General features: G+C 39.6%; 1 protein-coding gene across 18 annotated transcripts in view; it reads left to right on the plus strand.

Moving 5' to 3' along the window:
• ARMC2 (armadillo repeat containing 2) overlaps positions 1–13657 on the plus strand; it is a 204619-nt gene that overhangs the window by 79295 nt on the left and 111667 nt on the right. For 16 of the 18 annotated variants that reach the window (XR_007059340.1, XR_007059341.1, XM_047419396.1 and 13 more), the window contains 2 exons: positions 372–517; positions 9184–9283. Coding sequence is in view for 15 of the 18 variants with exons in the window: in XM_047419396.1 (XP_047275352.1) it covers positions 372–517; positions 9184–9283 (246 nt within the window). In the remaining 3 variants the exon portion in view is untranslated. Of the gene's footprint in view, positions 1–371; positions 518–9183; positions 9284–13657 lie in introns of those variants that run through there. The other 2 variants (XR_942600.1, XM_011536176.3) reach the window with 2 other exon arrangements.

Here is a 13657-nt window from a genome sequence, read left to right on the forward strand (position 1 = left end):
AAAAAGAAAGAAAAACATAGAACAAGAAGTTTCTAATCTGCAGAACTGATGTGGCTATCACAGGGCCAGCTGAAGATCTTAGGAGTGTTAGCAAACCTAGATGATGGTTTGTTTAACCCTGGGTTTGGGGTATACCAATTGCTTACTAAGATTAATATTTCATTCTTTACCTTTCAACCAAATTAGGCTTTCTTTGTTTTCATTTGTTGCTACTTGTGCCTAGGCTCACATTCCCTGGTGGGAGATGCATAGCGGGAGCTTTGCTTAGCTACTGATATAAGGAAATTTATGAAATGAATTGTACTATGCTGTTTCGTGTGGTTATATTTTTTCAGTTCAAAAAAAATGGCACAAGCATGCTTTTATCCTAGGTGACTGCTACATTGAGAAACTTGGTTGATTCATCATTAGTAAGAAGTAAGTTCCTAAACATCAGTGCCCTTCCCCAGCTCTGCACGGCAATGGAACAGTACAAGGGTGACAAGGACGTCTGTACCAATATTGCCAGAATATTCAGGTAGGTAGACTAAGACGTGAAGTAGCCTTACAAAAATGCTAATGCTTAGATTTGGGGTTATCTTTAATATTTGCTTGTGTGACTGGCAAGGAATCCTTTTCCTTCTTTTTACTTCGCCTACCAGAAAGGGTAAATCTAGTGGCCCAAGTTAAAAATGAACAATTCAAACAAATGAACCCATTGTCTATATGATTCTATTGTGATTCTAAACTCATTGGTTGTTAAGTCATTTTAGTTCTTTGGTGAGTTGTGAGCTACGTGTGTGTGTTTAATCTTCCTCTCAGCTTATTTGAGATAAAAAACTGTATACAAAACACAGCAAACCTTCCAGTTTGCTAGGAAATAAACAAGAGTTTTAACTCAAAAAAGGGGATCAATGCTTAGAAAGTCTGATGTGACTTTGTAATAGAAGGTTATTCTATTTCAGCTATTTGAACTTTGGCTCAAGCTTTCACTAGTCAAGTCTACACTTACTTTATTTCTTCCAGAAATAATGATCATTTGAATCCAGGTTGCCTCCAAGCAAGATGTTGTTAAATTTCAGAACTGTCTTTGAATTATGCATTTCTGTTTCCTCCCGCGCTGCTCTTTGTCAGTATTTTTACATAATGATTCTTCTCGGGAGCCTGAGGCTTTTCTTGAACTATAATGTTGTAGTTGTAAAGAAATGCAAAATTTCCTGAAGACTGAATTGGTACTTGACCCCAGGACCCCTGTATAAGGATGTGAGTCCAAATCTGATTTTTTTTTAAATGAATGTCAACTTGTATTATAGATTAAATGGTACACAGGTTTGTTACGTGGGTAAATTGTATGACGTGGAGGCTTGGGGTCTCGACAATCATGTTACCCAGGCAGTAAGCATAGTACCCAACAGGTGGTTCTTCAGCCCCAGCCCCCTCCTTCCCTCCAGATCTGATCTTTTTATACTGCACTTCCCTGAGCTTTGTTCTGGATACCTAATTACTACCTATCTAATGCATTGTAGAATCATAAGGAATTTATTTTTGTTTATAGTGTCATGTAGGGGTCCAACTTCATATTTTTCCCATGTGGATAGTTGATTGTTCCAGCACCTTTTACTGACTATGCCATCCTTTCTCACTGATTTTGTCAATCAGACAGAAAGTTCCATATAATTTCAGGTTTGTTTCTGGGCATTCTGTTTGGTTTATCCTCAGACCTGTACCACACTGTACTTACTATTACAGATTTAATTTGAGTTTTGCTATAAGATGAATCCTTCACTTTTTGTTGTTGAGATGGGGTCTCGCTTTGTCACCCAGGCTGGAGTGCAGTGGGCACAAACATGGCTTACTACAGCCTCGACTGCCCAGGCTTAAACGATCGATCCTCCCACCTCAGCCTCCCTAGCAGCTGGGACCACAGGTGCACGCCAACATGCTCAGCTAATTTTATCATTATTATTTGTGGAAACGAAGTCTTGCTATGTTGCCCCGGCTGGTCTCAAACTCTTGGGCTCAAGTGATCCTCCTGCCTCAGCTTCCCAAAGTGCTGCGATTAGAGGTGTGAGCCACTCTGCCTGGCCTTCAAATCTCTCACTTTTTTTCTCCTTTAAGATCCAAACTCTTGGTCAGGCACAGTGGCTCACACCTGTAATCCCAGAACTTTGGGAGGCCAAGGTGGGTGGATCACTTAAGCCCAAGAATCTGAGATCAGCCTGGGCAACATGGCGAAATCCCATCTCTAGCGCTGCCCCCCACCCCCAACCCCTGCCAAAAAATTAGCCAGGCATGGTGGTATGTGACTGTAGTCCCAGCTACTTGAGAGGCTGAGGTGGAAAGATTGCTTGAGTCTGGAAGGTGGAGGTTGCAGTAAGCCAAGATAGTGCCACTTGCACTCCAGCCTGGGCAACAGAGCAAGACCCTATCTAAAAAAAAAAAAAAGAATCCAAACTCTTCTTGTTCTTTTCCCTTCCTTATGAACTTATTAATCTTGCATTGATAGCTCTTTAAAAATATTTACTTATTTATTTATGTATTTTAGCTGTCTCCTACAGGAAGGATATCCAAGAATCTTGATGAACATTAGGACTAGGAGTTTGTCTATAGATGCTCTTGAATTTTCTATGCATATTATCTACATATAATTTTTTTTTCAATTATTGTAATTCTTTCCCCTGTCCTCATCTCTTCTTTATTGCATTGTTTAGGAGTTCAATACAAAATTGTGAGTGTTGAGCCTGTTGTCTTTCTTCTGACTTTAAAGGAAATATTTTCATGGTTTCACTAGTTGAAAATAATATTTGTTGTAGGTTTTCCTAACTACCCTTTAGAAGATTAATGATTTTTTTTCTCATTAGTGGGTATTAAGTTTTGTCAAATGCTTGCCCTGAATCTTTTTTTTTTTTTTTTTTTTTTGAGTTGGAGTCTTACTCTGTCGCCCAGGCTGGAGTGCAGTGGGGTGATCTCGGCTCACTGCAAGCTTCGCCTCCCAGGTTCATGCCATTCTCCTGCCTCAGCCTCACAAGTAGCTGGGACTACAGGCACCCACACCACGCCCAGCTAATTTTTTGTATTTTTAGTAGAGACGGGGTTTCACTGTGTTAGCCAGGATGGTCTCGATATCCTGACCTCGTGATCCCCCTGCCTTGGCCTCCCAAAGTGCTGGGATTACAGGCGTGAGCCACCGCACCCGGCCCCCACCCCCTTTTTTTTTTTTTTAACTTTTATTTTAGGTTCAGAGGTACATGTGCAGGTTTGTTACATAGGTAAACTCATGTCACGGGAGTTTGTTGTACAGATTATTTAATCACCCAGGAATTAAGCCCAGTATCCAATAGTCAAAAGAGTTATCTTTTCTGCTCCCCTCCCTCCTCCCACCCTCCACCCTCAAGTAGACCCCAACATCTGTTGTTTTCTTCTTTGTGTTTATAAGTTCTCATCATTTAGCTCCCACTTATAAGTGAGAACATGTGGTATTTGGTTTTATTTTCCTGCGCTAGTTTGCTGAGCTAATGGCCTCCAGGTCCATCCATGTTCACGCATAAGACTTGATCTCATTCTTTTTTATAGCTGCATAGTATTCCATGGTGTATAGGTACCACATTTTCTTTATCCAATCTGTCAATGATGGGCACTTAGGTTGATTCCATGTCTTTGCTATTGTGAGTAGTGCTGCAATGAACATTAGCGTGCATGTATCTTTATTGTAGAATGATTTATTTTCCTCTGGGTATATACCCAGTAATAGGATTGCTGGGTTAAATGGTAGTTCTGCTTTTAGCTCATTGTGGAATCACTATACTGCTTTACACAATGATTGAACTAATTTATACTCCTACCAACAGTGTATGAGTGTTCTCTTTTTTCTGCAACCTTGCCAGCATCTGTTATTTTTTGACTTTTTAATAATAGCCATTCTGACTGGTGTGAGATGGTATCTCATTGTGGCTTTGATTTGTATTTCTCTAATGTATTTGTATTTCTCTATGATACTGAGCTTTTTTTCCATATGCTTATTGGCCACATGTGTGTCTTCTTTTGAAAAGTGTTTGTTCATGTTCTTTGCCCACTTTTTTTTTTTTGAGATGGAGTTTCGTTCTTGTTGCCAAGGCTGGAGTGCAATGGCATGATCTCGGCTCACCATAACCTCTGCCTCCCAGGTTCAAGCAATTATCCTGCCTCAGCCTCCCAAGTAGCTGGGATTACAGGCATGCACCACCATACCCAGCTAATTCTTTGTATTTTTAGTAGAGACGGGGTTTCTCCATGTTGGTCAGGCTGGTCTTGAACTCCCGACCTCAGGTGATCTGCCCGCCTCAGCCTCCCAAAGTGCTGGGATTATAGGCGTGAGCCACCGCACCTGGCCCTTTGCCCACTTTTTGGTGGGGTTGTTTTTCTCTTGTAAATTTGTTTAAGTTCCTTATATGTCCTGGATATTAAACCTTTGACAGATGCATAGTTTGCAAATATTTTCTCCAATTCTGTAGGTTGTCTGTTTACTCTGTTGATAGTTTCTTTTGCTGTGTAGAGCTCTTAAATTTAATTAGATCCCATTTGTCAATTTTTGCTTTTGTTGCATTTGCTTTTAGTGTCTTTGTCATGAAATCTTTGCCCGTTCCTATGTCCAGGATAGTATTGCCTAGGTTACCTTCCAGGGTCTTCATAGTTTTGGGTTTTACATTTAGTCTTTAATCCATCATCCATCTTGAGTTGATTTTTGTATATAGTGAAAGGAAGGGGTCCAGCTTCAGTCTTCTGCATATGGCTAGCCTGTTACCCCGTGATTATTTATTAAACAGTGAGTCTTTTCTCCATTGCTTTTTTTTTTTTTTTTTTTTTTTTTTTGTTGAGACGGAGTCTTGCTCTGTCGCCCAGGCTGGAGGGCAGTGGCGCGGTCTCGGCTCACTGCAAGCTCTGCCTCCCGGGTTCACACCATTCTCCTGCCTCAGCCTCCCGAGTAGCTGGGACTATAGGTGCCCACCACCACGCCCGGCTAATTTTTTGTATTTTTAGTAGAGATGGGTTTTCACTGTGTTAGCCAGGATGGTCTCGATCTCCTGACCTCGTGATCTGCCCGCCTCGGCCTCCCAAAGTGCTGGGATTACAGGCGTGAGCCACTGCGCCCGGCCTCCATTGCTTGTTTTTGTCAGCTTTGTTGAAGATCATGTGGTTGTAGGTATGCAGCCTTATTTCTGGGCTCTCTGTTCTGTTCCCTTGGTCCATGTGCCTGTTTTTGTACCAGTACCATGCTGTTTTGGTTACCATAGCCCTGTAGTAAAGTTTGAATTAGGCAATGTGATGCCTCTAGCTTTGTTCTTTTTGCATAAGATTCCTTGGCTATTTGAGCTCATTTTCAGTTCCGTGTTAAATTTTAAAATAGTTTTTTTTTTTCTAGTTCTGTGAAGAATGTCATTGGTAGTTTGATAGGAATAGGATTGAATCTGTAAATTGCTTTGGTCAGTATGGCCATTTTAATGGTACAAATTCTTCCTATCCATAAGCATGGGATGTTTTCCCATTTGTTTGTGTCTTCTCTGATTTTTTTGAGTAGTGTTTTGTAATTCTCATTGTAGAGATCTTTCACCTCCCTGGTTAGCTGTATTCTCAGGTATCTTATTCTTTTTGTGGCAATTGTGAATGGAATGGCCTTTCTGATTCGGCTCTCTGCTTGGCTGTTGTTGGTGTATAGGAATGCTAGTGATTTTTGTACATTGATTTTGTATCCTGAAACTGCTGAAGTTGTTTCTCAGCTGAAGGAGGTTTTGGGCTGAGACTGTGGGGTTTTCTAGATGTAGAATCATCTGTGAGTGTTGGGCCTGTTGTCTTTCTTCTGACTCTAAAGGAAATATTTTCATGGTTACACCAGCTGAAAATAATATTTGTTGTAGGTTTTCATAAGTACCCTTCTGCAAACAGAGATAGTTTGACTTCCTCCCTTTCTGTTTGGATGTCCTTTATTTCATCCTCTTGATTGATTGCTCTGGCTAGGACTTCCAATACTATGCTGCATAGGAATGGTGAGATAGGGCATCCTTGTCTTGTGCTGGTTTTCATGGGGAATGCTTCCAGCTTTTGCCCATTTAGTATGATATTGGCTGTGGGTTTGTCATAGATGGCACTTATTATTTTGAGGTCTGTTCCTTCAATACCTAGTTTTTTGTTTTGTTTTGATTTGTTTTTTGAGACGGAGTCTTGCTTTGTCGCCCAGGCTGGAGTGCAGTGGCGTGATCTTGGCTCACTACAACCTCTGCCTCTCAGGTTCAAGCGATTCTCCTGCCTCAGCCTCCAGAGTAGCTGGGATTACAGGCATGTGCCACCACACCCAGCTAATTTTTGTATTTTTAGTAGAGATGGAGTTTTACCATGTTGTCCAGGCAGGTCTCAAACTCCTGACCTCAGGTGATCCACCCGTCTCAGCCTCCCAAAGTGCTGGATTACAGGCGTGAGCCACCTCGCCTGGCATCAGTACCTAGTTTATTGAGAGTTTTTACCATGAAGGAGTGTTGAATTTTACTGAAAGCCTTTTCTGTGTCTATTGAGATAATCTTGTGGTTTTTGTCTTCAGTTGTGTGTATGTGATAAATCATATTTACCTGAATTGCTTTTGATTATGCATTTTCTTATTTAAATCTGTTAATATAGTAAATTACACTAATAAAGTTTCTCAAGTTAAGCCATTATATATTGCTGGGTTTGGTTAACTAATATTTTGTTTAGGATTTGTCATTGGTGGTCATGAGTTACATTGACCTGTATTTTTCTCTTCTCATATTGTCCTTGTCTGGGTTTAGTGTAAGTTTATACCAGCCTCATAAAATGGGTTGGGAGGTAATCCAATTTTTTCTCTTTCCTAGAAGAATTTGTAAAAAGCTGATCGGCTTCTTGAAAAGTTTTAAAAACTTGCTCAAAATGCTATTTTTATCCAGGGTATATATGTGTGTATGTGTGTGTGAATATTGTTGACTACTGATTCAATTTCTTCCCATATGGTTATATGTTTCTCATTTCTACTTGGTTCAGTTTCAAAAAGTTATGTTTTTGTAGGAATTTGATAATTTTATCTAAGTTTTCAAACAATATAAAAGTTGCTCCAACTATTCTCTTATTATTATTCTAATCTCTGTTTTATCTCTAATTATGTCCCCTTTTATTTATTTTTCCTATTTAACAGATATTTGTATAGCACTTACAACATGCTAGGCAATATTCAGAATACTTTCCAAATACGAATTCCTTTCATCCTCATAACAACTTTTTAAGATATGTATTATTATTGTCATTATCATTTTACATATGAGGAAACTGAGACATAGAGAAGTTTAGTTATTTTCCCGAGATCACACAACTAGTATGTCATAGAGCTGCAGTTGAAACCGTATCCTGGCTCTAGAATTCATACTTTGAACCACTGTGTTACCTTGCCTCTTCATTGTTAATATTGACTTTCTTTCCTAATTTTGATTGTTCGTGCTGTTTCTCTTTTTCTTAGTCTTGCAAAATCTTTCCTATTTTATTAGCTTTTACCAAGAACAAATATATTATTGATCCACTTTATTGTATGTTTGCTTCCTGTCTTATTTCTTCTGCTCTTATCCTTATTAATCCTTTTCTTCAACTCTCTGTGAATATATCATATTTTTCTTCTATTTTAGTAAAAAACATGACTCCTTTCTTTTCAGCCTCCTTAAACCTATAAATTTTCCTCTAAATACTAATTAGAGGAAATGAGTATTTATAAGTTTTTTTGTTTTTTGTTTTTTTGAGACAAGGTCTCACTCTGTCACCCAGGCTGGAGTGCAGTGTTGTGATCTTGGCTCACTGCAACCTTCGCCTCCCAGGTTCAAGCGATTCTCCTGCCTCAACCTGCAGAGTAGCTGAGACTACAAGCATGCACCACCACACCCAGCTAATTTTTGTATTTTTTAGTAGAGACGGGGTTTCGCCATGTTAGCCAGGCTGGTCTTGAACTCCTGGCCTCAAGTGATCCTCCTGCCTCGGCCTCCCAAAGTGCTGGGGTTACAGGCGTGAGCCACTGTGCCTGGCCCATCCTACAAGTTTTGATTTGTAATATTTTTTATTACTCGTATTTAAGTATTTCTTTTGTAATTTTCATGTTTCTTTGACCTATAAGTTAGGTGTTCTTACATTTCCAAAAAAAAGGTTTTTTTAAATTTATTTTTTAAATGATTTCTAATTTAATTGCACTTTGACCAGAGAATGTGGTCTTTGAGATACCAGTTCTCTGAAAATTTACTGAGATTTATTTATGGCCTGGTATGTGGTCAAGTTTTTAACATATTAATGATGTTTTACCTATTGATTCATCAATTAGGAAGAAATATATGAACATCTCCTGATTTGTTGTGGGTTTGTCAATATTGCCTTACGGGTTTTGTTTGCTTGCTTGCTTACTTGCTTTAGAAATTTTGAAGCTGTTTTCAAGGCTTTCTGCCTTAAGGTTGGTTTATTTTGCCTAATATTAGTATAGCACTACCAATCTACTATATTAAAGCAGGTTTTTGTTCGTTTGTTTTGAATGTATAGGTTTTTTGTTTGTTTGTTTGTTTGTTTGTTTTGAGGCAGAGTCTCGCCCCATTGCCCAGTCTGGAGTGCAGTGGTTCAATCTTGGCTCACTGCAACCTCTGCCTCCTGAGTTCAAGCAGTTCTCCTGCCTGGGCCTCCAGAGTAGCTGGGATTACAGGCACATGCCACCATACCCAGCTAATTTTTGTATTTTTGTAGAGATGGGGTTTCACTATGTTGGCCAGGCTCGTCTTGAGCTCCTGACCTCAAGTGACCCACCTGCCTTTGCCTCCCAAAGTGCTGGGATTACAGGCGTGAGGCACCACGCCTGGCCTATTAAAGCAGTTTTACATTTGCTTCTGATGTGGTCTCAGGGGACTCACTGGTATCCAACCAGATTTCATATAAATTTCATGTAAGTTTGTGTTTTCTGAATTACGTGGGTAGTGTACACCTACATGTAAGTTACCTTTTAAATTTTTCCGGATCCATCTCACTAGAGTGTAGAGCAGGAAGCCTCCTTGCAGCTTCTCTGAACTGATGTGTAGAGTATTTTTAGACTCCTTTTCTTGAACTGGGCAATGTTTTGAAGGTCTGCATTTAAAGTGATACTATGTGTACTTGAATTTTATAGAAAAACAAAGTTTACCTTTATTTTCCCATTTGGCATTTCTGCAGCAAACTTACTTCTTACCGTGACTGCTGCACAGCCTTGGCCAGCTATTCCAGATGTTATGCCTTATTTCTGAATCTAATTAACAAATACCAGAAGAAGCAGGTCAGTTCTTCATTCATTTAATTCTTCAATGAGTCTTTACACTAATGTGTTTGTGTAAGCCCATGTTAAATGTCTTTATGTTTTGAGTATATAGGTTTCTATAAGAAACTTCCATTAAATGTATAATGGGCTGTCCTGGGAAGCAGTAAGTTACCTATAGGAGTTGAAGGAGTTATATGAGTCAGAAATGAAATGTTGATGTTCTAGGAAGTTTCCTGGTGTAGGAAGGAAGGTGGTAGATTATAACAATATTTTTCCTCCCAGTGATCTGTAGAAAACCTACCTGGGAGTCACCTTGGGGTGGGGGAGGGGGTATAACCCCACCCCAAGGGTTATTTCCGTAATGGTTATTTCTTCCAGGTTTCATTCCAGTCTACTGAGTCAGATGGGTAGGGTAGGACCTACCTAGCCATCTGCATTTTAACAAGAACCACAGGGACTTCTGATGCAAATTAAGGTTTGCAGTTCCCCTGCACTGGATAGTCCCTGAAGATTCTTCTAGCCCTTAAGTTCTCTAATTCTTTGACCCCATTGTTATATTTAAAAGGTAACATTTCCAGGTAAAGTGTTTAAATGAAATAATTTAGTTTTAATGAATCAAGGCAAAAATGTATATAGTTGTTTAAAAAAGGAAGAACTTACAAACGATTTCTCATTAATCAAATCATAATATTTCATACAGACATTATTTTTATTTTTATTTTTTTATTTTTTGAGACGAGTCTCACTCTGTCACCCAGGCTGGAGTGCAGTGGCGATATCTTGGCTCACTGCAAGCTCCACCTCCTGGGTTCACGCCATTCTGCCCCCTCAGCCTCCCGAGTAGCTGGGACTACAGGCGTGCCACCACACCTGGCTAATTTTGTTTTTGTACTTTTAGTAGAGACGAGGTTTCACCGTGTTAGCCAGGATGGTCTTGATCTCCTGACCTCATGATCCGCCCACCTTGGCCTCCCTCCCAAAGTGCTGGGATTATAGGCGTGAGCCACTGCACCCGGCCACAGGCATTAATTTTTATTATAAGTTTTTAAATATTCGTTAAAGCAAAGTCTACTTTTATTCACTTTCATAAGTTATTAAAGTGACATCAACTTAGTGAGATATTTTGTCCATGAATACAATGAGTATTCATTTTAAATGTGGTAAATTTTCAACATCCTATAGTAAGTTTTGCGAGTTTATGGACCAAATAATTTATGTATATACTAACAGTATTTTAATCTGAAGCTTTGTGTTTGTTTTGTTAACCATATTAAGACCACCCCAAAACATAATCTCTGTTTGTTACTGACTAGCATTGAACTTATCTTTACCCAGCCAAAGACTTCTGCTGAGAATTATTAAATTTGTCAGATTTAACCCCAGCTTTAGCCTCCCAAGTAGGGATTACAGGCATGTGCCACCACACCTGGCTAATTTTTTTTTTTTTTTTTGGTAGAGACAGGGTTTTGCCATGTGCTGGGATTACAGGTGTGAGCCACTGTGCCTGGCCCAAAAGAATTCTTTTACATGTTATACTCAAAAGAGATCTATTTATATATTTTATTTTATAATTTAATGTTATGAATTTTAATTATAATTTTATTTTCCCATTACTACCTTTTTTTTTTTTTTTTTTGCTTTGGTGCTTTGATCTTGGGTGATTTAGGTGTCTTTAATTAGAGAAGATTTATTTGCCTTGCCATTAGAATTTTCAAATATGGACAAAAGAAAATACTTCTGTTTAACAGTTTGATTTCAAGTTATGTTATAATCTATAATTTTTTTAAGGAAGAAAATTCATTAATTGAGTACTCACAAATAGTGCTATTGTTTTCTAGCATTACTAATAGATACTTTTGTTTCTCTGATTGGAGCTTAGATGATGGCCATATGGAATAAACCAACAAAAATCCTGGTACCTCACCAATATGAGAGACTAGAGATATCAGTATGGCTAAGAGTATGCTTTTTCTAGTTTGAGTAACTAAATGTCCTAAAGTTTTTTTTTGTTTTTTAAAATAAAGATGAGGTCTCACTATGTTGCCCAGGCTGGCCTGGAGCTCTTGGGCTCAAGCAATCCTACCACTTCAGCCTCCCAAAGTGCTGGGATTACAGATGTGAGCCACTGCGCCCAGCCTAAAAATCCTAAAGTTTAAATTGGCATAAAATTTTACTATACTTTTCACTAAACTAATTTTCACGTTAGACCAATGGTTATCTGAAAAGCAAAACTCATGTTTAAGAAACCACATTTTTCTCTGTTGATGTATATTACAATTTTATGTTCCTATTGATGTGGTTTGGATTTCTGTCCCAGCCTAAATCTCCTGTTGAATTGTAATCCCCTGGATTGGAGGTGGGGCCTGGTGGGAGGTGATTGGATCATGGGCGGAGTTCTCACGGATGGGTTAGCACCATCCCCCTGGTGCTGTTCTCGTGGTAGTGAGTGAGTTTTCTTGAGATCTGCTTGTTTAAAAGTGTGTAGCACCTCCCCCTGCTCTCTCTCTTCTTCCTGCTCTGGCATGTAAGATGTGCCTGTTTCTCTTTCACCTTCCGCCATGATTGAAAGTTTCCTGAGGCCTCCCCAGAAGCTGAGCAGATGCCAGCAGCATGCTTCCTGTACAGCCTACGGAACCATGAGCCAATTCAATCTCTTTTCTTGATAAATTATCTAATCTCAAGTATTTATTTGTAGCAATGCAAGAACAGACTAAAATACCTATTAAAATTATTTTAATTTCCAAAGAGGAATAGAGAGCACCTTGTAAACCATGTACAGTAACATGCTTATTCAGAACCATCAAAGAAATGCATGTTATCACTTTCATCACTAAACTTAATCATTGTGGCAAAAATCATATTCAAACATATTGCATGTTTCTCTTCCTTCTTAGAAGATATTAAAACTAACTTAACCTCTTGATACCAAAGGTCATTATTATAAGCATTAATTATTGCTGTAGAGACTGTTTGTCCCACATGTGAAGCCTGAGTCTGTTGATGAGGTTCTTTAAATGTCTGCATCTTCTTTGTAGATTTTCTCTCTCTTCTTTTTCTATTGGTTGCTACCTCCACCTTTGGTAGTCTTTACCTGCTTTTTTGCAATTATTTGTTTGCAATTAGCAAGGGAACCTCATAACCAAGCTTATTAAAATTAGCATGTAGTCCCAGCTACTCAAGAGGCTGAGGCAGGAGAATCGCTTGAACCTGGGAGGCAGAGGCTGCAGTGAGCCGAGATCGTGCCACTGCACTCCAGCCTGGGTGACAGAGGAAGACTCTATCTCGGAAATCAAGGACATGGACACACATGGAGTGAGGTTAACTGCGGAGGTTTAATAGGCAAAAGAGAGAGGAGAACAGCTCTCTCTCCTGCGCGTGAGAGAGGCACCCAAGTGGAACTTCTGGCCCATGCACAGGTATTAATAGACAGGCTTGAGGAGGCAATATCTGATCTACAGAGGGCCCAAAGATTGGTTGGACCAGGTGTGATGTTTACATAGCACGCAGGGAAGGTGGCCACCCCAACCTAATCTTCTTATTATACAAATGGTGTTTTTGCTTGGCCAGCACCATGTTACCTGCTCTTTACTGTACATGTGGCTAGCAAAGAGAAGGGAAGATGGAGCTGCCATAGTGGACATGCCTAGTCCCAGGTATTCTTTTTCCTATTGGCACAGCTGGCAGCATTCACCCGTGGAAGCTTCTAGCTTGCCTTTCTATGTCTGCAGCTTGATTTTACAGGCTGCTCTTTATTAGAAAAGAAATTATTTGGGGGCTGCTTTTCATTAAAAGGAAAACCTTACCGAGGACCTCCTTACCCTCACTATCTGCCTAAATAATTTCTTTTTAACTCCAGTATCAACACATAAGCCAGGCGTGGTGGTGCAAGCCTCTAGTGAAACTAGTTGTCCAGCTTGGCAACAAGGTGAAATCCTATCTCAGAGAGAGAGAGAAGACTGGCAACATAGACCTCATCTCTATAAACAAAAAATTAGCCGTGCGTGGTGGCACATGTCTGTAGTCCTAGCTACTTAGAAGGCTAAGGCGGGAGGATTGCTTGAGCCCAGGTTGCAGTGAGCCATTGATCACTAGCTAGCTAGCTAGACAGACAGACAGACAGACAGACAGATATTTTAGACTAAAAACTTTAAAATAAAATTGAATATGAACAGACTTAATGAGAAGAGCCTAAGGGGCTCTGATGAAATTTCTCTGTGACTTCTCCTCTTCAAAGCCAATTCCATATTTCAAGTTGTAGCTCTCTTGTCTGCTCCCCTGTGAGGCCTCCCAAGCAAGACCAGTCAATTTCTCCCTCATCAGTGCAACATTTTTAAGACTTTAACATAGCTGATACCCCCAGCTAGTACACTCAGAGCTAAGAACCCAAGCAGT

This window comes from Homo sapiens, chromosome 6, assembly GCF_000001405.40.
Source record: "Homo sapiens chromosome 6, GRCh38.p14 Primary Assembly".
Lineage (NCBI taxonomy): Eukaryota > Metazoa > Chordata > Mammalia > Primates > Hominidae > Homo > Homo sapiens.